The sequence below is a fragment of the Homo sapiens genome, chromosome 6 (assembly GCF_000001405.40).
Source record: "Homo sapiens chromosome 6, GRCh38.p14 Primary Assembly".
NCBI lineage: Eukaryota > Metazoa > Chordata > Mammalia > Primates > Hominidae > Homo > Homo sapiens.
In genome coordinates this window covers 83,892,107-83,916,048 of record NC_000006.12, presented here as the reverse complement: position 1 = coordinate 83,916,048, position 23,942 = coordinate 83,892,107, and the positions used below count along the sequence as shown (strand labels likewise).

Below are 23,942 nucleotides of genomic sequence, written 5' to 3'. Positions count from 1 at the left end.
AAAAAAAACCCTCAAACTTTACATAATATTATTTTGAGTAAGTTGAAAGAATACGGGGTGAATGTGTAGTGAAAAAAAATAATTAAGTAATGCAAGGTGGACTGAATGCATGTTCTCCCTTCCATAAGTATTGGTTGATTGAATGTCGTCAATTTGAAGGGATCGGGTCTCTAGTGGAATAGGAAAGTAGTCCAACCCATTCAGTATTTTAAGCAGCTATTGGAATAGTAACATAGAATGCAGGCAGATCACATTTGCAAATACAGAGACATACCACATAGACTTAAATGAGCCAAAAGGGAAAAGCAGCTAATAAATATATAGATAGACAGATATGTTCCAATCTTACAGGGTCCAGGTCACAAGAGGTAACAGTGCTAACCAAATCACTTGTGGAGTGCTATATTCCATACTTAATGCCACCTTTTACTGAGAAATTAGTCAAATGCAGTGCATCCAAAGAAGGCAACAGAAAAGTACAGGTTCTGGAAGCCACATGTGGTGGAAAGAAAATGCCTAGTCTATCGGTAATCAATCATTAAGCAATGGTTGCTTTTGTAGTGCCACAGAAGAGTCAATCATCAGACGAAACCAAAGATCAGTCCCTCATTTAATAGAGTGTTATATTATCCGATGAACAACTACAGGTACTATAAATTGCATAAATTAGTCCACAATATAGACTATTTCAGTTAACAAAGAAAAAGGTAACTCATCTGGCAATCTAGCTTGTTAGTTGCATTTCTGTAACTTGCTTTTGCAAATGAAAGAAAAAAATGTTTCTAAATGTACATCAATATAGTTCAGTCAGAGTTAGCACCATGCATTTTATGTCAGTAGTGACCACCATGCCAAACTTTTTTGCGGGGGAGAGGAAGTGTCAGTCATTATTTGCAAGTCATCCAGAATGGCTGGATGCACCACTCAGCTTAAAAAATTGTAGATTAATAAACTATTTGGCATGTGTATGCAAACAATGGAGGTGAGCTCACATCTAAGAAAACTGACTTATTTTGTCTTGTTTCTGAGGAAGAAACTCCTAACTGCTACAAGTATTCAAGCTGAGGGAAGATAACATGTATTCAGGGATGTCACAGAAGGCACGACGATAAGAGTAATGGCTGGAATAAGGAGCCTATAAAACCCTACAAAAGACTCTTAAGTTTGGGCCAGTAAAGCTATCTTTCATATTAAAAAAAAAAAAAAAAAATCTAGGCCGGGCACAGTGGCTCACGCCCGTAATCCCGGCACTCTGGGAGGCCGAGGTGGGCAGATCACGAGGTCAGGAGTTCAAGACCAGCCTGACCAACATGGTGAAACCCCATCTCTACTAAAAATACAAAAATTAGCCAGGTGTGTGGTGTGCACCTGTAATACCAGCTACTCAGGACACCGAGGCAGGAGAATTGCTTGAACCCGGGAGGTGGAGGTTACAGTGAGCTGAGATGGTGCCACTGCACTCCAGCCTGGGTGACAAAGCAATACTCCATCTCAAAAAGAAAAAAAAGAAAAAAATTTAAATGCCCCAGACAATTCTGTGTATCAATACTATTCATAAGCATGTGAATATGATTCATTTATTATAAATTTATAGACTTACCATTTAAGACTTTCTTTTCCTCCTCACGATAGTCTGTATAGTGATTTAGAAAAAAAAGTCAAATAAGAATACTTTAATGTCAATGAGAATGTCAGTCCACATTACTGATTTCAAGATAACATCCCTTCTTTTTTGAAGGGCTTTCTTCTAAGGCCTGAGGAGAGAAACAGGCCAATATAGAAACGGCCTTTGTTTTAAACAAGTAAGTTTCATCTCTGAAGACTGCCAGACCATATTTCTCCAGATGTTTGTCTCTCATTTCATTTGGATTTTTTCTAATTCTTTGGTCACTTTTTTCTAATATCTTGGTTAATTTCTATATGAGCATATGTAAACGTCAAGTTTCATCCGTGTTATCATATTTTAAATTAGTCCAAGTTAACCAGAATTTATTAGATTATACTTCATAAATGAAACACACACATTAACAACTCAAAGAAAGATGCCTTATCTTTCCCTTTTACTGAGTTCAATGCATAAAATGATCGTTATTACAAGTTTAAAATATGTTCAGATTTTTGCATGTATACCCAATGCAATTATTAGTGTTACAAACCCAGGAAAAAAATTAACAGGTATTTTCTTTCAGGATGGCGGCCAACTCACAAAGCTATATTATATTCTAATATCCACAAGTGTTATACCATTATAGTCAAACTAAACACCTCAGCAAGTTGTCAAAATTTAAAAAAAAATGGGATAAGCTAACAAAAAATATTCAAGTAGTCAAATGGAAAGACATCATTTCTTAAGCTGACATCACCTTGTTTTATACAAAAAGAAACTAACGTATTTAAAATCAAAGCTTTCAAATTTTTTGTGTTCCAATATTTCACCAGAAATTCCATAATTAATTACACTTCACTCATCCATCCCAAAATAATAATAATTAAGGAAGCCAAATGACCATCCTTTTCCTTTTCCTCATTTTACCAAAATAATTTTACAGCTGAAAGGAATTTACCACATACAGCAAATTATCACCTGATCTCCTAAAAAAGGCTGAAAATCAGAGGTCAAAGGACTTGAATGAAATCTACCACTCCAGTAAAAAAGCCAAAATTAGATTTGTCTCTCCTGAAACACAGTCCCATTTTTCTTGGCAATCCAGGAGTTAATATTTCCTAAAAGGATAGTAGGCCTAAAAACCATTTAAACTATACTTCAAAATGAGCTTTGTTTATCAACTGCCACATACAAATCTGGCCATTACAGTTTGCAAAGGATCACTGATGTCCCTGCTTGGCCATGTACTTTCATCCAGTCAGTTTTATCTGTCTTTGCTGTTGCAGTTGTGATTATTTGTTTTATCTTAGAAATTCACAGAACATGTATCTATTTTCAGTGTACAATAAGGTCAACAGTTTAATAAATCTCATTTATCATGTAAAACAATTAGTTTTTACCTAAGAGGTTCACAGATTTTGAAAAATTGTCCCAGGTAATTTATTTCTAAGAAGAAAATATTATCTCTTATGATTATTTCTTGCCTGATATGAATAGATTTGAATCTGTCAGAACTTTCTGGATTCTGCAAAATTAGTAGTTCCCCCCCACCACCAAGTCTTTTTTAAATACAAGAAGTACTAGTAGAAAGAGAACTTCCACTTAAAGAATCTGGGTTACCTTTAAAAATTCTCCTACTCTGTTTTTACAACTCTTTTCAAAAACTGAGTTACAGAAATGGAGGAGACTGTTTTTCACTTTCAAGCATATTTACATCTGAATCATTTTAGTCACAGGAGATACTTTCTTCTCTGAAAAGAAATCTGATGTTTTCTCTTGGTAACTAATTCCATCATTTAGTTGGCTCCATGGCCAATCAAATTTGTATCTTCTCATAATGCTGGTTAAACTGCTTTACTCTGATGAGAATCTTTATTTCCGGAGAGGTCAGAGTCATTTAGAAGGCTGGTGCTGTGATCTAACAGCACTCAGCTCTTCCTTGGTAAGGATCTTTAATTATGACCCAAATCTAGTTTACCTCTGCTGAGCAGAGGCACAGGAGGATACCCTGGAATAAAGAAAGATCCAGTAGGAAGTTCTTTTACCAATATGCTCATTCTTTAATAAACATCTATTGATCATCTTAACAGCGATATTGACATAATACGGACATTGACATACCATTTGGATAAAAAGTTAGAAAAATAAGAAAATATATTCAGTCTGCTTATCATACATAAAGATAATTTGGAAAGAGTCACAACAACAACAACATCAACAGAAACATGTCCTTGGTGTGTGCATGGGAGAGGAAAACAGTAGATGGGAGGCAGAACTATGATAAGGATGCTTCTTCTTGAATCACATGAGTGCAATACTTATTCAAAAAATACCATAAACGGAATTAAAAATAAAGTCAATAGGCTTTTTTTTTTTTTTTTTTTTTGAGACAAGGCCTCTCTCTGTCACCCAGGCTGGAATGCAGTGGTGATATCTCGGCTCACTGCAACCTCTGCCTGGTGGGCTCAAGAAATCCTCTTGCCTCAGCCTTCCGAGTAGCTGGGACCACAGGCATGCACCACTAGGCCTGGTTAATATTTTTGTAATTTTTTTTTCTTTTTTGTAGAGACAGGGTTTCGCTATGTAGCCCAGGCTGGTCTTGAACTCCTGAACTCAAGTGATTCACCTGCCTTGGCATCCCAAAGTGCTGGGATTACAGGTGTCAGCCACCGTACCCAGATGATACGCTCTTTTTAAGATTGCGTGTGGCTGTAAAAGAGGTATACAGGAGGTGTTATTGAAGCACAGAAGAAGAACGTTTCTACTGGAAGAAATTTGAAAGGACTCTATAGAAGAAGTAGTATTTTAGCTAAGTTTTGAAAATGTGTAGGCATTTGTCAGGAGTCCTTGAAGAAAAGCATTCTAGGAAAAAAAAAATGCTGAGCATTAATTGAATGTTTTACAATTATCTTGTAGCTACATTCCTCATTCCCCTTTCTTATTCCAAAAGGTTGGTATTATGTCACCATCAGATAAGAGCTCAGTCTTGTTGCCAGGGATCTTACTCACAAAGTCCTAAATTTACCATTCTGTATTCCCTTACCTGCTTAGCCTTGCCAGAAGACTTCTTGGTTCTGTATAATGTGTTTAATAACCATTTTTTCCTCTAGAAATTCCTCCATATCTCTAAACAGAACTCTTCATAACACAACTTAGACCTGATTCTTTTTTTTAATTAAATATAATTTTTTTTTAATTTTTGTAGAGACAGAGTTTCACTATATTGCCCAAGCTAGTCTCAAAATCCTGGGCTCAAGCAGTCCTCCTGCCTTGGCTTCCCAAAGTGCTGAGATTACAGGCATGAGCCACCGCACCTAGCCAGGCCTAATTCTTGTTTTTGATTTAAAAGTCATACTTATTTCTCAAATCTTACAAAACTTAATTTTTGCAGTTTTAAACTATCTTTACCTTACTTTCTTCTATTCATCTTTGTAATCATCTTCTGAATCATCTTTCAATTTTATACATCTCTCAAACTTCTAGTTCACTAGCAGAATTAAAATGAAGACTTAATAGTTCAAATCCACATATTCTGAAAAATCCGAGGATTAAAAAGCTTTAAAAATACCAGAGTATTAATTTATCCTAGGATCAGTTTTTCCTCCATTATTCATTTAATCACAGCATATGCTGTATTTTTAGAAGTTCATATTTTCTCCCCAAGTTGGCTTCACTTGTCATTTTTTTAATCAACTCTGCAATTTGTCAGTTATTTTCCATTCCTGTCCTATCATCAGAGGGATTACGATTCCTTTCTTATCTGGAATCACCTGTACATGAATATACACATGTTCAAAATTCCTCTTTCTATGAAAACAAAACAAATGCTAACACAAACAAAACATCAGTCAGTCATACCACTACAGAAGACACACTTCCTGTTTAGGTCTGCATCTGCCCCCTAACCAGGGACTTCTTACTTCTACCTCCCATTTTTAATTACCTTTCCCTTAAATCTTTCTGGCAAGAATTACCCAGACAACGGGCCCTATAGCAGAAGGAGCAAATTAAGGCAGCCAGGCTGAGATAGCAAACTTGTCTGTCTAGTAAAGCCCACTTCAGAATGACTCCCAGCCTCCCTCTCTCCACCAGTAACCGTCTTACTTCTCCCCTATCAGTTAGTCTCTGAGCTTGTGCTTTGTCTACCTAAATTGTCTCCATTTTACCAATGAGGAAACTGAGGCTTCTAGAAGAAAGAACTTTGACTGACTTTACAAAAGTTGAACTTCCAACTGGCAGGCAGCCCATTCAATAGATGTCTTGTCCTTGCTCACAGTGCTGTGACAGTAAAAGAAATCTTTGAAAGTAATGTCTCAGCCCACTATAGGTCCTGGTGTCTATCTCCATCCTCAGCTCTACAGGTGCCAGAGTTTGCCTAGGATGAACCAAAGAGCTGTCCAATGCATGCGTACCAGCTTAACATGTATGTGCCACTAATACCATCATTTTTAATAATAAAAAACTAATGCATATAAGATGGTTTCTCTACTTCAACACTATTAACATTTTAGGCCAGAAAATCCTTTGTTGTGGGGGTCTGTCCTGTGCAACGCAGGATATTTAGCAGCATCTCTGACCACTATCAATTAGAATGCCAGTAGCATTTACTTTCGTTCTAACAACAAAAATGTCTTCAGACATTGCCAAATGTCCCCCTGAAGAGCAAAATCAACCCCAGTGAAAAACAACTGGCATATACTAAAAGAAAATACATTACAAAAAAGCAGGTACCATTTAATGAGGCAACTCTCTGCCTTACAAAAGGTTTGTTTACCCATGGTTTCTTCAAGTGGGCTTTTTCAATTAAATAACTCTGTAGTTTTTAGTAAGATACAATACCTACAAGCCTCAGTATCTTCACTTTTAAACTGCTCTAAATCCCTCTTCCATCTCAGAGCTAGGGGGAAGAAACTGGTTATACTTTAGAAGAAGTTTAAAGTAAGAATAGGGGTTATCTATAGTGAAGGCGCAGAGTCGGAAGGTCCATGGCAAATGGGAGAAAAAGCTGGGAGGGAAAATTTCACTGTATAACTTTTTGTATTTTTAAATGTTTGAATCATGTGACTATATTATTCAAAAAATTAAATTCTAAAAAACTAATCTAAAAATCAACCCTAAGTGTTGTACTCCTCACACTGAACTTTCTCTAAACAACAGTCGAACTTTTAAGGGAAAGTCACAATATGATTCTAGAGAAGAAATGAAGGAAAACCTCTGGAGTGGCTAGACCAGGAGGCCAATGAAAATTACAAAACCATAGTGATTTGTATAGACCTAGTTGTTTAAATCCAAGTTAAAAAAAAATACATGTGCACCACACATCCATGCTGGTTTAGCACCAGCACCACTTACCTTTCAGAACAGCAGGTTTAATGGCCATTCTGCCAACCAGGCATTCTTTCAGCATGGATTCATAATTGACCCAACGATGAACCTGGTATGTAAAACAAATGATGGAAAAGCAACATGACTAACTCCACAGGATGCTCTCATTTTAGTACGAGCAAAACTAAACTTTCTGAAACCACTCTCAACACACACCTAAAAACTAAGAAGCATATTCAATTAGTCTACCAGGGTGTGATAGAAAGGCTGCACAGATAGAGATTGTTTAGAATAGTATTCTCAAAGTGTTGGGACCTTTGGAAGTTCCTGACACCCTTTCAGGTCTCCATGAGGTCTCAATTTGTTTCATGATAATACTAATAAAAAGTTACTCACTTTTTTTTCAGTTTTGACATTTGCTCTGATGCTATAAAAGCAATGGTGGGTAAAACTGCTAGTATCTTGCATTAATCAAGGCAGTGGGTCCAAACAGTACTAGTAATTATTATCTTCTTCACCACCATGGACAGGGGAGGGAGCATGAGGAAGATATTTAAGAATACTTAAGAATATCCTTCATGAAGTAGAAAAATTATTAATTAAATTTTGACCCTTGGGTACATATTTTTATTATATTTTGTGTGACAAAGTGGGAAATTCTCAAAAAGATTAGTGCTACAAAGTATGATGGTTTCCCGGTGAAGAGACACTTAGGTGATTGTTTGATTTGCAAATGCAACTAGGCTTTTTTCATGAAAGGCCATTTGGCACATTTTACCTACATAACAAACCTGCACATCCTGCACATATACCTCAGAACTTAAAATAAATTAAAAAAAGAAGAAGACATACATGCAGTCATCCGGCAGTGAAAAAAGCTCAATATTACCGATCATTTGAGAAATGCAAATCAAAACCACAATGAGATACCATCTCATGGCAGTTAGAATGGCATTAATAAAAAGTAAAAAAATAACAGATGTTGGCGAGGTTGCGGAGAAAAGAGGATGTTTATACAACTGTTGGTGAGACTGTAAATTAGTTCAACCATTGTGGAAAGTGATATGGTGATTCCTCAAAGAACTAAAAACAGAACTACCATTTGACCCAGCAATCCCATTTCTGAGTATATATGCAGAGGAATATAAATCATTCTACCATAAAGACTCATGTACACGACTGTTCACTACAGCACTATTCACAATAGCAAAGACATGGAATCAACCTAAATGCCCATAAATGACAGACTGAATAAAGAAAATGTGGTAGATATACACCATGGAATACTAGGCAGCCATAAAAAAGAACAAGATTATATCTTTTGCAGGAACATGGATGGAGCTGGAGGCCATTATCCTTAGTAAACTAACACAGAAACAGAAAACCAAATACTACATGTTCTCACTTACAAGTGGGAGCTAAATGATGAGAACTCCTGAAAACAAAGAAATGAACAACAGACACTACTTGAGGGTGGAGGTTGGGAGGAGGGAGAGGAGCAGAAAAAATAACTATTGGGTACCAGGCTTAGTACCTGGATGATGAAATAATCTGTACAATGAATCCTCATGACATGAGTTTACCTATATAACAAACCTGCACACGTACCCCTGAACCTAAAATAAAAGTTAAAAAAAAAAAGAACAAAAAAAATGAAGGGCCATTTATAAGAACTGCTAGTAAACAAACTGATTATTCAGACTCAGATATTTAACAGTTATTTTCTTGAAAAGAAACAAAGTGATTCTACTGCTTCAAGGAAAAGAACTGACAGTATTTGTTGTCAGATGCCACTGGTGGAAATTATATTTAAACAACCTTTCTGCAAGGCACCTTCTCAATATGCCTTAAAAGTCTTAAAATAGGCCAGGAATAATTTTAAGGTGGGGTGGCTCATGCCTGTAATCCCAGCACTTTGGGAGGCTGAGGTGAGAGGATCACTTGAGCCCAGGAGTTCGAGGTTGCAGTAAGCTGATCATGCCACTACATTCCAGCCTGGGCAAAAGAGCAAGACCCTGTTTGAAAAAAAAGGACTTAAAAATCTGCAGCTCTTTCACTCACATATTTAGGAATTTACCTGAGAAAATATTTGCATGTATATAAAGATGTAGGTACCAGGATACTCATCACAGCACTACTTAAATTAGCAAAATACTGGAAACAATTTAAATGTCCAATTGTAAAAGACCGGCAAAGGAAAATCAATATATAATGCCATTCAATACAATACTATATAATCATTAAAATAACCAGCCAAAAAAATGTTGATACTGGAATCTTTATGGTATATTCCAGAGTAAATAAATATGCACTAAAATAGTAAGTATGTAAAGTATAGAAAGAAGATAGTTGACTAGAGGTATTTCATACTTGCCTCCTCCACTAAGAACCAAGATAGTGAATGGATAATTACATTCTGAATAGACCATCCAGAGAGAACACTGAAATTCAACAGTAAAGTGACAGGAGATACCTAAAGCAAGAAATGAAAAGGAAGTGAGGCAGCCTACAGGGCTGGGATCAGCTGGGAGCTGAGAAAGACTCAGGTTGGAGAACTTTAGCAGTCTACATTCCCACCATGGACTCATGCAATCCTAGCCACAGAAGAACCCTTTGACCTTTGCAGGCCCTGACATTAAAATAGAGAGCTGCTGGGAGATTGTGTGATGGCACTGCTCCAGGGAGGGTGCTTGCACTGGGTCTCACAAGCCCCCTGAGACCTAAGCAGCTACAGTAAACGATCATTTCAGAGCCCTAGCCCCAACAAACTGCACACTGTACTAGAACCCAGCAGAACCCAGACTGAAGTGCAAGAGAAGCATGGCTACTGCCCCAGGAGTTTAGGTTCAAGGAACTGCCAGCTACCGCACCATGGGCTGAGGCAAGAGCAAGTCACCAGGGCTGAAGAACAGCTGGTACGTTCATTCCCCATCCACTGGCCTAGGCTGCCTACCACTGAAGGCAGCACCACTCTGCCCAGAGGCAGGGTATCACCACAACTGCTGTCTCCCTCCACCTGAGCATTCCACTGATAGCCTGGGGATTGCCCCTGCCTACCATGCCTGCCATGGCTGGCCTCACCCCCCTCTGCCTATTCCACAGCACAGTTTGAGGGCCAGGAGATTGCCCAGTCCAGTCCAACACACTGGCACCTGAACACTCCTCCCAGGGGCCTGAGGTTGGACATACCAACCTGGCTGCTATCACCACAGCTAGCACCTCCTTGCACATGCCATCTGCAGGGTTAGAGACTGGCCTGCGCAGCCCATAACAGCCTCCACCAACATAAGCGTGTACCACCTGGGACCCAGAGGTCATCCTGCGACTGCCACCGTCACCACCCATGCCACACCACCTGCCCAGGGGCCCAAGAACTCACCCACTGTTGCCACTATTGGGATCCAACTAGGCCACCAAGAGGCCCAAGAATCAGCTTGCCTTGATGAACCCTGGTGCCAGCATATGCCATCCTGGGGCCCAAGGACAGACACACTTAGCCCATTGCTCCCACCACTGGGGCCCAAAGACTAACCTACCTGGGGTCCTAGTAACCAGCAAAACTTCATCGCAGCCTCCACCAATAATTGTACCCTAAGACACCGAGGAAGTCACAGTCATCACTGATGCTGTTTACACCTGAAGAAATCATATAGAGACTACACTACTGCACACACCCAGGATCAAAGCCGAAGTGTCCTACCCCACCAACATCACAGATACATCTACAGGAAAAATTTCTCCCATATGAAAGCAAATTTAAAAAAAACTGAAAAAGGGCCGGGCGCAGTGGCTCCGCACTTTGGGAGGCCGAGGCGGGAAGATCACCTGAGGTCAAGAGTTGGAGACCAGTCTGGCCAACATGGTGAAACCCCATCTCTACTAAAAATACAAAAAAATTAGCCAGGTGTGGAGGCGCGTGCCTGTAGTCCCAGCTACTTGGGCGGCTGAGGCAGGAGAATCTCTTGAACCTGGGACGCGGAGGTTGCAGTGAGCTGAGGCTGCACCGCTGCACTCCAGCCTGGGTAACAGGGTGAGATTCTATCTCAAAACAAAACAAAAAACAAACAAACAAAACAAACATACAAAAAAAAAAGGAAAGAAGTGACTGTTACACCAGATGTGCAATATCAACATAAGGACACAGGAAACATGAAAAAGCAAGGAAATATGACACTTCCAAAGGAACACAATAATTCTCTGGCAACAGATCACAATCAAAAAGAAATTTATGAAATCCTAGAAAAAGAATTCAAACTATTGATTCTAAAGAAGTTCAGTGAGGTACAACAGAATTATAAAAAACAATACAAAAAACAATTCAGAATATGAATGAGAAATTTACAAAAGTGATAGACGTCATGAAAAAGAACCAAACAGAAATTCTGGAACTGAAGAACTCATTGAATGATATACAAAACACATTCAAAAGCAAAGTATTATTTGATCTAAAGAGAGAGAGAAACTCCAATACAATAATAGTGGGGGAGTTCAAAATCCCATTCTCAGCATTAGACGGATCATCTAGGGAGAAAAATCAACAAACATTGGATTTAAACTGGACTTCAGACCAATGGACCTAGCAGACATTTATAAAACATTTATCCAACGATTGCAGAATACACATTTTTTTTCATCAGCACATATAACGTTGTCCATGACAGACATATGTTAGGCTACAAAACAAGTCTCAACATATTTTTAAGCACTGAAATCCTCTTGAGTATATTTTCAGGCCCCAGTAAAATAAATCAATACTAACAGGAACTTTCAAAACCATACAAATACATGGAAATTAAACAACATGCTCCTGAATCACCATTCAGTCAAAGAAGAAATTAAAATGGAAATAAAAAAATTTCTTGAAACAAATGAAAATAGAAATGCAGCATACCAAAACCTGTGGAATAGCAAAAGCAGTATCTAAGGGGGAAGTTTATAGCAATAAATGCCTACTCCAAAAAAGTTGACAGATTTCAAATAAACAATCTAACAATGTACCTCAAGGAACTAGAAAAGCAAGAACAAACCAAAGGCAATATTAGGAGAAGAAAAGAAATAATAACTGTCAGAGCAGAACTATATGAAATAGATTTTTTAAAAAGATACAAAGGATCAATAAAACAAAAAGTTGATTTTTGAAAAGATAAAACAAAATTGATAAGCCACTAGCTAGAATAACCAAAAAAAGGGAAGACCTAAGTAAACAAAATCAGAAATGAAAAGGAGACAACACAACTGATACCAAAGAAATACAAAGGATCATCAGAGACTGTTATGAGCAACTATATATTAACAAACTGGAAAACCTAGAGAAAATGGATAAATTCCTGGAAACATACAACCTATCAAGATTGAATCAGGAAGAAATAGAAAACATGAACAGACCAATAACCAGTAGCAAGATTGAATCAGTAATAAAAAAAACTCCCAAGAACAACAACAGCAACAGCAACAACAAAGGACTAGATGGATTCACTGTAAAATTTTACCAAATGTAGAAAGAAGAGTAAATCAAAATCCTCCTCAAATTATTCCAAAAAATTGAAGAGAAGGGAATTCGCCCCAATTTATTCTACAAGGCCAGCATTACCCTGATACCAAAACCAAGTAAGTGTACAAAAACAACAACCAAAAAAACCCCACAAAACTACAATATCACTGATAAACATAAATGGAAAAATGTCAAGAAAACACTAGCCAAATGAATTTGACAGCACATCAAAAATATAATAAAACATGATGAAGTGGAATTTATCCCAAGGAGTCAGGGATGGTTTAACATACACACAAATTAGTAAATGTGATACATCACATCAACAGAATGAAAAACAGAAACTGTATGATCATCTCAGTCACACAAAAAAGTATTTCATAAAGTTCAACATTCTTACATAATAAAAACTCTCAACAAACTAGACATAGAAGGAATATACCTCAAAATAATAAAAGGCCATATATGACAAACCCACAGCTAACAACATATTGCACTGGGAAAAGTTAAAAGCCTTTTCACTAAGAACTGGAACAAGACAGGACGCCCACTTTCACTACCCCTATTTAATACAGTACTGGAAGTTCTAGACAGAGCAATGCAAGAGAAAGAAATAAAAAGCATCCATATTAGAAAAGAGAAAGTCAAACTGTCCCTTTTAACAAATACTATTTTGTATTTAGAAAAACCAAAAGACTCCACCAAATACCTTAGAGCTGATAAACAAATTCAGTAAAGTTACAAGACACAAAATCAACATACAAAACTCAGCAGTGTTTCTATACGCCAATAATAAAATAGCTGAAAAAGAAATCAAGAAGACAATCCCATTAACCATAGCTACAAAGAAAGAAAGAAAGCTACAGATAAATTTAACCAAAGAGATGAAAGATCTCTACAAGTAAAACTACAGAACATTGATGAAAGAACACAACTGGTGAAAGGACACAAACAAATGGAAAGATATACTGTGCTCATGGATCAGAAGAATTAGTAACAATCAGAAGGAACATACAGCCCAAAGCAATATGCAGAATCAATGCAATCCTTATCAAAATACCACTGTTATTTTTCACAGAAATAGAAAAAACAATCCTAAAATTCATATGGAACCAAAAACCCACTAGAATAGCCAAAGCAATCCTGAGCAAAAAGAACAAAGATGGTGACATCATACTACCTGATTTCAAAATATATTCCAAGGCTGTAGTAACCAAAACAGCACAGTATTGGTATGAAACTAGACATATAAACCAACAGAACAGAGCAGAGAACCCAGAAATAAATCCACATATTTATAGCCAACTGATTTTCAACAATGACGTCAAGAATATACAATGAGGAAAGGACACCTTCTTCAATAAATGGTGCTGGGAAAATTGGATATCCATATGCAGAAGAATGAAAATGAACTCCAATATTTCACCATATTAAAAAATCAACTCAAAATGGATTAAAGACTTAAAATATAGACCCGAAACTATAAAATCACTAGAAGAAAACACTGGAAAAACACTTCATGACATTGGTCTAAGCAAAGATTTTATGGTTAAGACCTCAAAAGCACAGACAACACAAAAATAGACAAATGTAACTATATTAAACTTAAAAGTTTCTACACAGCAAAGGAAACAATCAAGAGAGTGAAGACACAACATGTTGAATGGGAGAAAATATCTGCACTCTATTTATCTAACAAGGACTGATATCCAGAATATATAAGGAACCCAACCATAAAAAAAAAAGTAATCCCATTAAGAAGTGGGCAAAGAACATGAATAGACAATTCTCAAAAGATGACAAATAGTTGATGAGTACATGAAAAAATGCTCAATATCACTGATCATCAGGGACATGCAAATCAAAACCATAATTAGACATCATCCTATCCCAGATAGAATGGCTATTACAAAAAAAAAAACAAGAAATAATAGACGCTGGTGAGGATGTAAAGAAAAGGGAACTCAGAAATGAACAAAGCCTCCAAGAAATATGGGACTATGTGAAAAGACCAAATCTACGTCTGATTGGTGTACCTGAAAGTGACGGGGAGAATGGAAACAAGTTGGAAAACACTCTGCAGGATATTATCCAGGAGAACTTCCCCAATCTAGCAAGGCAGGCTAACATTCAAATTCAGGAAATACACAGAAGTCCACTAAGATACTCCTCGAGAAGAGCAACTCCAAGACACATAATTGTCAGATTCACCAAAGTTGAAATGAAGGAAAAAATGTTAAGGGCAGCCAGAGAGAAAGGTCGGGTAACCCACAAAGGGAAGCCCATCAGACAGCTGATCTCTCGGCAGAAACTCTACAAGCCAGAAGAGAGTGGGGGCCAATATTCAACATTCTTCAAGAAAAGAATTTTCAACCCACAATTTCATATCCAGCCAAACTAAGCTTCATAAGTGAAGGAGAAATAAAATTCTTTACAGACAAGCAAATGCTGAGAGATTTTGTCACCACCAGGCCTGCCCTAAAAGAGCTCCTGAAGGGAGCACCAAACACGGAAAGGAACAACCGGCACCAGCCACTGCAAAAACATGCCAAATTGTAAAGACCATCGAGGCTAGGAAGAAACTGCATCAGCTAACGAGCAAAGTAACTAGCTAACATTTGACAGGATCAAATTCACACATAACAATATTAACATTAAACATAAATGGGCTGAATGCTCCAATTAAAAGACACAAAACAGCGAATTGGATAAAGAGTCAAGACCCATCAGTATGCTGTATTCAGGAAACCCATCTCACGTGCAGAGACACACATAGACTCAAAATTAAGGGATGGAGGAAGATCTACCAAGCAAATGGAAAACAAAAAAAGGCAGGGGTTGCAATCCTAGTCTCTGATGAAACAGACTTTAAACCAACAAAGATCAAAAGAGACAAAGAAGGCCATTACATAATGGTAAAGGGATCAATTCAACAAGAAGAGCTAACTATCCTAAATATATATGCACCCAATACAGGAGCACCCAGATTCATAAAACAAGTCCTTAGAGACCTAGAAAGAGACTTAGACTCCCACACAGTAATAACGGGAGACTTTAACACCCTACTGTCAACATTAGACAGATCAATGAGACAGAAAGTTAACAAAGAAATCCAGGAATTGAACTCAGCTCTGCACCAAGTGGACCTAATAGACAGCTACAGAACTCTCCACCCCAAATCAACAGAATATACATTCTTCTCAGCACCACACCGCACTTATTCCAAAATTTACCACTTAGTTGGAAGTAAAGCACTCCTCAGCAAAAGTAAAAGAACAGAAATTATAACAAACTGTCTCTCAGACCACAGTGCAATCAAACTAGAACTCAGGATTAAGAAACTCACTCAACACCACTCAACTACATGGAAACTGAACAACCTGCTCCTGAATGACTACTGGGTACAAAACGAAACGAAGGCAGAAATAAAGATGTTCTTTGAAACCAATGAGAACAAAGACACAACATACCAGAATTTCTGGGACACATTCAAAGCAGTGTGTAGAGGGAAACTTAAAGCACTAAATGCCCACAAGAGAAAGCAGGAAAGATCCAAAATTGACACCCTAACATCACAATTAAAAGAACTAGAGAAGCAAGAGCAAACACATTCAAAAGCTAGCAGAAGGCAAGAAATAACTAAGATCAGAGCAGAACTGAAGGAGATAGAGACATAAAAAACCCTTCAAAAAAATCAATGAATCCAGGAGCTGGTTTTTTGAAAAGATCAACAAAATTGATAGACCCCTAGCAAGACTACTAAAGAAGAAAAGAGAGAAGAATCAAATAGATGCAATAAAAAATGATAAAGGGGATATCACCACTGATCCCACAGAAATACAAGCTACCATCAGAGAATACTATAAACACCTCTATGCAAATAAACTAGAAAATCTAGAAGAAATGGATAAATTCCTCGACACATACACCCTCCCAAGACTAAACCAGGAAGAAGTTGAATCCCTGAATAGTCCAATAACAGGCTCTGAAATTGAGGCAATAATTAATAGCTTACCAACCAAAAAAAGTCCAGGACCAGATGGATTCACAGCCGAATTCTACCAGAGGTACAAGGAGGAGCTGGTACTATTCCTTCTGAAACTATTCCAATCAATAGAAAAAGAGGGAATCCTCCCTAACTCATTTTATGAGGCCAGCATCATCCTCATATCAAAGCCTGGCAGAGACACAACAGAAAAAGAGAATTTTAGACCAATATCCCTAATGAACATTGATGCAAAAATCCTCAATAAAATGCTGGCAAACCAAATCCAGCAGCACAGCAAAAAGCTTATCCACCATGATCAAGTCGGCTTCATCCCTGGGATGGAAGGCTGGTTCAACATACACAAATCAATAAACGTAATCCAGCATATAAACAGAACCAAAGACAAAAACCACATGATTATCTCAATAGATGCAGAAAAGGCCTTTGACAAAATTCAACAATGCTTCATGCTAAAAACTCTCAATAAATTAGGTACTGATGCCACATATCTCAAAACAGTAAGAGCTATCTATGACAAACCCACAGCCAATATCATACTGAATGGGCAAAAACTGGAAGCATTCCCTTTGAAAACTGGCACAACACAGGGACGCCCTCTCTCACCACTCCTATTCAACATAGTGTTGGAAGTCCTGGCCAGGGCAATTAGGCAGGAGAAGGAAATAAAGGGTATTCAATTAGGAAAAGAGGAAGTCAAATTGTCCCTGTTTGCAGATGACATGATTGTATATTTAGAATACCCCATCATCTCAGCCCAAAATCTCCTTAAGCTGATAAGCAACTTCAGCAAAGTCTCAGGATACAAAATCAATGTGCAAAAATCACAAGCATTCTTATACACCAATAACAGACAAACAGAGAGCCAAATCATGAGTGAACTCCCATTCACAATTGCTTCAAAGAGAATAAAATACCTAGGAATCCAACTTACAAGGGATGTGAAGGACCTCTTCAAGGAGAACTACAAACCACTGCTCAACGCAATAAAAGAGGATACAAACAAATGGAAGAACATTCCATGCTCGTGGGTAGGAAGAATCAATATCGTGAAAATGGCCATACTGCCCAAGGTAATTTATAGATTCAATGCCATCCCCATCAAGCTACCAATGACTTTCTTCACAGAACTGGAAAAAACTACTTTAAAGTTCACATGGAACCAAAAAAGAGCCCACATTGCCAAGTCAATCCTAAGCCAAAAGAACAAAGCTGGAGGCATCATGCTACCTGACTTCAAACTATACTACAAGGCTACAGTAACCAAAACAGCATGGTACTGGTACCAAAACAGAGATATAGACCAATGGAACAGAACAGAGCCCTCAGAACTAATGCCACATATCTACAACTATCTGATCTTTGACAAACCTGACAAAAACAAGAAATGGGGAAAGGATTCCCTATTTAATAAATGGTGCTGGGAAAACTGGCTAGCCATATGTAGAAAGCTGAAACTGGACCCCTTCCTTACATCTTACACAAAAATTAATTCAAGATGGATTAAAGACTTAAATGTTTTTAAGTCTTTAAATGTTTAAAACCATAAAAACGCTACCATAAAAACATAAAAATGTTTTTAAGTCTTTAAATGTTTAAAACCATAAAAACCCTACAAGAAAACCTAGGCAATACCATTCAGGACATAGGCATGGGCAAGGACTTCATGTCTAAAACATCAAAAGCAATGGCAACACAAGCCAAAATTGACAAATGGGATCTAATTAAACGAAAGAGCTTCTGTACAGCAAAAGAAACTACCATCAGAGTGAACACGCAACCTACAGAATGGGAGAAAATTTCTGCAATCTTCTCATCTGACAAAGGGCTAATATCCAGAATCTACAAAGAACTCCAACAAATTTACAAGAAAAAAACAACCCCATCCAAAAGTGGGCAAAGGATATGAACAGACACTTCTCAAAAGAAGATATTTATGCAGCCAACAGACACATGAAAAAATGCTCATCATCACTGGCCATCAGAGAAATGCAACTCAAAACCACAATGAGATACCATCTCCCACCAGTTAGAATGGCCATCATTAAAAAGTCAGGAAACAACAGGTGCTGGAGAGGATGTGGAGAAACAGGAACACTTTTACTGTTAGTGAGACTGTAAACTGGTTCAACCATTGTGGAAGTCAGTGTGGCAATTCCTCAGAGATCTAGAACTAGAATTACCATTTGACCCAGCCATCCCATTACTGGGTATATACCCAAAGGATTATAAATCATGCTGCTATAAAGACACATGCACATGTATGTTTATTGTGGCACTATTCACAACAGCAAAGACTTGGAACCAACAATGATAGACTGGATTAAGAAAATGTGGCACCTATACACCATGGAATACTATGCAGCCATAAAAAAGGATGAGCTCATGTCCTTTGTAGGGACATGGATGAAGCTGGAAACCATCATTCTCAGCAAACTATCGCAAGGACAAAAAACCAAACACCGCATGTTCTCACTCATAGGTGGGAATTGAACAATGAGAACACATGGACACAGGAAGGGGAACATCACACACCGGGGCCTGTTGTGAGGTAGGGGGACGGGGGAGGGATAGCATTAGGAGATATACCTAATGATAAATTATGAGTTAATGGGTGCAGCACACCAAAATGGCACACGTATACATATGTAACAAACCTGCACATTGTGCACATGTACCCTAAAACTTAAAGTATAATAAAAAAAAAAAGAAAATGGAACTCACACACTGTTGTTGGGAATGTAAATTAGTACAACCATTATGGAAAACAGTATGGAGATTTCTTAAAAAACTAAAATATTAATAGAACTACCATAGCAATCCCACTATTGGGTATCTATCCAAAGTAAAATAAATCATTACATCAAAGAGATACCTGCATTTGCATGTTTACTGCAGCACCATTCACAATAGCAAAAATATGGAATCCACCTAAGTGTCCACAAACAAGGAATGGATAAATAAAGAAAATGTGTTATAATATATGCATACAATGGAATACTATTTGGCCATAAAAAAGAATGAAATTATGTCACTAGCAGCAACATGGAAGGAACTGGAGATCATTACATCAAGTGAAATACACAGACACAGAAAGACAAATACTGCATGTTTTCACTCATAGGAGCTACAAAATTTGATCTCATTGACATAGAGAATAGAATGATAGACATCAGAGGCAGGGAAGGGTGCAAAGCAAGATGCATGTTGGGAATATTTACCCTGATATATTCTTTTAGGACCTCACATGCCAGGCTAATGAGTGTAAATGTACTTCCCTGTCAGGGGTGAGCCACTGAGAGTTGCAGAGCAAGGTACTAAGATGATTGTCTTTAAGAAATCTAATCTAGCTGTCATGTTACCTAAATTGGTAATGAAGGTAAAGATATCAAGACAGTATTAAAATAATATGGCTACAGTGAGTGAACTAAGGTAGTGGGAAGGGAGAAAAAGACAGATCATAGGATTTGGCCAGTGATTGGATACTGGGGCACAAGCAGAGATGAAAAAGATTACTCCGGGAATTCAAGCCCCTATTACAAGAAACAGGAAACAGAAGGAAAAAGAGGAAAGAAAATGACTTGATATTATTTGAGGGCATAATGAGTTGAAGTATAGGGCATTAAATTGCCTATCAGGTATTTGGAAATGCAAGATAAGAGGTCAGCGGTGGGATAAAAACAGAAATAGGACAATAAGGAAATTACTATTATTTGTGCAGCTAAAATACTGGGCACAAGTAAATTCTCATATTGAAAAATGCAAGCGTCACTGTAGTTTCTAGTTTACTTCTGTGCTGAGCAAGTCATAAATAATTAAACATCACTGGTCTTATTAAAGCCAAGAAGAATGCAATCTAATTGTTCTGAATCTAGCAATCTAGTAAATATTGTTTTAAATACTAGAAAACTTAACAATATAGCACTTCTTGTGAATTCTCCAAAACAAGCTTTCCTTAAATAAGGTCTATATGACCTCATAACACTCAAGAACAGAAATAAGACTAGACTTTATTGGAAATTCTTCTTGTGGCACAGTACATTCAACATTAGGAGGTTACAAGGCAGATTCAAGAGAAAAGTATAGCAGGTAAGTTTTTAGGCAAATGTTCCTAAACCTTTCTATTTAGCTTGCATTGCTAGATAACAAATACCAGGCCAGGCGCAATGGCTCACACCTATAATCCCAGCATTTAGGGCGGCTGAGGCAGGCAGAGTACTTAAGGCCAAGAGTTCAAGACCAGCCTGGTCAACGTGGCGAAACCCCATCTCTACTAAAAATACAAAAATTAGCCAGGCGAGATGGCACACTCCTGTAATCTCAGCTACTCGGGAGGCTAAGGCACAAGAACTGCTTGAACCTGGGAGGCGCAGGTTGCAGTGATCCAAGATCACACCACTGCACTCCAGCCTGGGGGACAGAGCGAGACTCTGTCTCATAGATACACAGACAGACAGCAGGCAGGCAGACAGAGAGAAAGCAAATACCAAATAACAATGGGAACTTGCCTTAAAACAGCAATAAAAACCTTCCAAGGAGAATGCTGTTATGACCAAGAGTAAACATGACTCTTCTCCAACCCAGGAAGAACATTAACAGCAAATGAGATCCTGCCATTTAAGCAAATGCACCTAAGTGCTCTCAAACACAATGGGCCCTTGAACAACACAGGTTTGAACTGCAACCGAGTCCATTTACATATGGGTTTACTTCTACCTTTGACACTTCAAGACAGAAAGACCAACCCTCCCTATTTCTCCTCCTCCTCCTCAGCCTACTCAAGATGAAGATGAGGATGAAGACCTTCATGATGATCCACTTCCACTTAAGGAATATAAATATATTTTCTCTTCCTTATGATTTTCTTAATAGCATTTTCTTTTCTTTAGCTTACTTTATTGTAAGAATATAGTATATAATGCATATAACATACATATATATGTTAATTGACTGTTTATGTTATAAGTAAGGCTTCTGGTCAACAGTAGGCTGTTAGTAGTTAAGTTTTTGGGAAGTTAAAAGTTATACATGAATTTTCTACTGCATGGGAGAGTGAGGGTGTTGGCACCCCTAATCCCTGTATTGTTCAAAGGTCAACTATATAAAACAAATTCTATTTCTGGCAACATGGTCAAAAAACAAGTCCTAAAATGGATGAGAAAATAGGAAGAACAGAAATCAAATTATATTTGATCAAAAAAACAGCTATAATATAACCCAACCTGATTCAGGTATCTCGAATGATAAAAATCCAATATTACAACATGGTTAATCATCATTAAAATACAAAATAAAGCATATATGAGACAAAGGCAAATTTCTATCTTTCTAAAGACTGTTGTCTCAGAATACTCAGAATTACTGAGAGTAATCAACATTCTGCATAACTTTAAAATAGTTTAAGAGCTAATGCTAGTTTTTAGTAAATATAAGGGGAAAAGTGACTAATTTAAATATCTTTTGAGATAACCTATACAGAATCTCTGCCATCATGCTAGGAAAAATAAGTTTCTATTCATTAATCACCATCGGCTAACTTTCTACATGACATGCAAATTCAGTATATAGCAGTAGGCTGAATATATAGCAATCCCTAGGTGACAAAGGACTAACAGAAAAGAAGCTAAGTTACTTGTTTAAAGTGATTCAGCAAGTTAGCAGCGGATCCCAATGTTCCTTCTTCCAATTGTCACTACCTCCCATAAGCCGATCATTATCAAAACTAATCAAGACTGAATAAACACTTACCAACAAAGGAGGCAGCGAACACTTAAAAGAAGACCCCTAGTCGCAGATTTGAAACATCTCTAAAATTTTAATAACTCAAAGGGCAAATTAAATGAACAGCTGCTACTTGTGAGCATCTTCCCACACTTCAAAATTCAAGCCAATGCATCTGGAATTTATGCAACTATTTCCTTTCTTTCTACAAATGTCACACTGATAAATCTGAGTACTCTTCCACCGGAATACTTTGGTTACTTTCAGCACATCTTACCTGATCAAAAAGTTCAGTACCATCTGATCCTGCTGCTCTCATTAGTTCATCTTCTCCACCAGGATGATACTCCATATAAGGGCTGACATTATAAACGAAACCTGTACCAAAGCAAACAGAAATAATATCCTAAATGAACTTCTCAAAAATTGTAAAACTTATAAATATAAGTTTCAATAAATCTTTCCAAATACATTCCATTTAATTAATCACTGTTATTTCAAAGTATCAAGAACTAACTGTAAAGGATCTGAGATTTCATCACACTTGCAAGCAAACAACTTAACCTGCCACTTTCATGGGTCCTGGCAGATAACAAGAGACTCCTAGGTCAGAGACAAAGAAGAGTTTAGCACTCACATCAATAGCAGTAGTCAGAATATAAACATTTGTGTCAGTTCACTGAACTCTAATTCACTAGAGTGCTATGTGAAGAGGGCCAGGTAACACCTGTACACTTAATGCGCTGCATTACAGAAGAGGAACTCTGAGCTCAGGAAACTGGAATCTTTTATAAGCATGCCTGCCCTTGCTCCTGAGGGAGATATTTATTATACAGAAGAGTAAGCAAAGCTGTCCTTTCTTCTAGAGGGAGACACTAACATTCAAGGTTGTTCACAATGCAAATATCCTTTAAAAGACTGTACAAAAAGACAGTGCCTCTACTCTCAAGACATGCAAAAATGCAAAAGAAAATTGTCTCCCAACACAAAGAAATGAAATACTGTGTATATAATTTTTGAAAGTACACACACGCACACAGAGAGAGAGAGAGAGAGAGGAAGAGAGAGAGAGAAAGTGACTACTACAGACATAACATTTCCATATTGCCCTGGTAGAAGAATCTGATGAAAAAAGAATCAAGCTCTAATCCACGTCTCTGATCATCTCAGCAAAGGTTAAGCAATGGTGACCACTTAGGCACGCTCTGTGAAAAGGAAGCCCAACTATTCTCAAAGATTATTATTCAGAATTTAATCATTTTGTCTTCTCCAAATATTTCTTTCATCTATTCAACTGTTATTTATTTTTATCTTTTAAGAAAGGAATAGGGAACAACAAACACAAAATATCTCAATGCACAGCTCTCCCAAGGAAGTAAGTTGCTTTTTCATTCTTGAAAACTAGATAGATACCAGACAAATCTAGCCCTAAAGACATCACGAAAGTGCAATAACAACGACTGGTTTTTTTTAAATATCCAGGACTATTTCCTCTTTATATGATGACTTCCATGAATTTAAATAACCTCAGATAACTTAAAATGTTCATCCTATATAATAATCTTGGAAGAAAAGAAGAGGTTGGATTTCAGACCCAAGAAAAGTACTGCAGTTTTTTGACCAGCTATATATTAGAAAATAACCAACCAGTCCAGCTTTATAAAGTCTCTTAAAGGTAAGCACAAAAGGAAGTAAATTCACAGAATTTCTTTCAGCAGCATTCCAAATAAGTCTGAACAAAACTAGTTAAGTTCCCTCTTTTTTCCTTCCCCATATGCCTAGAGTCCCACAAG

General features: G+C 37.5%; 2 protein-coding genes across 5 annotated transcripts in view, besides 1 other annotated feature; both read right to left on the bottom strand.

Annotated features, from left to right (window-relative positions):
- RIPPLY2-CYB5R4 (RIPPLY2-CYB5R4 readthrough) overlaps positions 1-23,942 on the bottom strand; it is a 114,064-nt gene that overhangs the window by 51,375 nt on the left and 38,747 nt on the right. For all 4 annotated transcript variants that reach the window (NR_174604.1, NR_174605.1, NR_174603.1 and 1 more), the window contains 3 exons: positions 22,427-22,527; positions 6,959-7,040; positions 1,601-1,633 (listed from right to left, as the gene is read on the bottom strand). Coding sequence is in view for 1 of the 4 variants with exons in the window: in NM_001400774.1 (NP_001387703.1) it covers positions 1,601-1,633; positions 6,959-7,040; positions 22,427-22,527 (216 nt within the window). In the remaining 3 variants the exon portion in view is untranslated. The remainder of the gene's footprint in view (positions 1-1,600; positions 1,634-6,958; positions 7,041-22,426; positions 22,528-23,942) is intronic.
- Positions 1-23,942, bottom strand: part of CYB5R4 (cytochrome b5 reductase 4) — a 107,735-nt gene that overhangs the window by 51,375 nt on the left and 32,418 nt on the right. The window contains exons 3-5 of the mRNA NM_016230.4: positions 22,427-22,527; positions 6,959-7,040; positions 1,601-1,633 (exon numbers count right to left, since the gene is read on the bottom strand). Of these exons, the coding sequence (NP_057314.2) occupies positions 1,601-1,633; positions 6,959-7,040; positions 22,427-22,527 (216 nt within the window). The remainder of the gene's footprint in view (positions 1-1,600; positions 1,634-6,958; positions 7,041-22,426; positions 22,528-23,942) is intronic.
- Positions 10,040-10,541: an enhancer, noted in NCBI's record as "H3K4me1 hESC enhancer chr6:84615227-84615728 (GRCh37/hg19 assembly coordinates)". NCBI's record gives its function as "activates a minimal SCP1, AML or CMV promoter by ChIP-STARR-seq in naive H9 embryonic stem cells {active_cell/tissue: H9 hESC(naive)}" and the evidence as "EXISTENCE:reporter gene assay evidence [ECO:0000049][PMID:30033119]".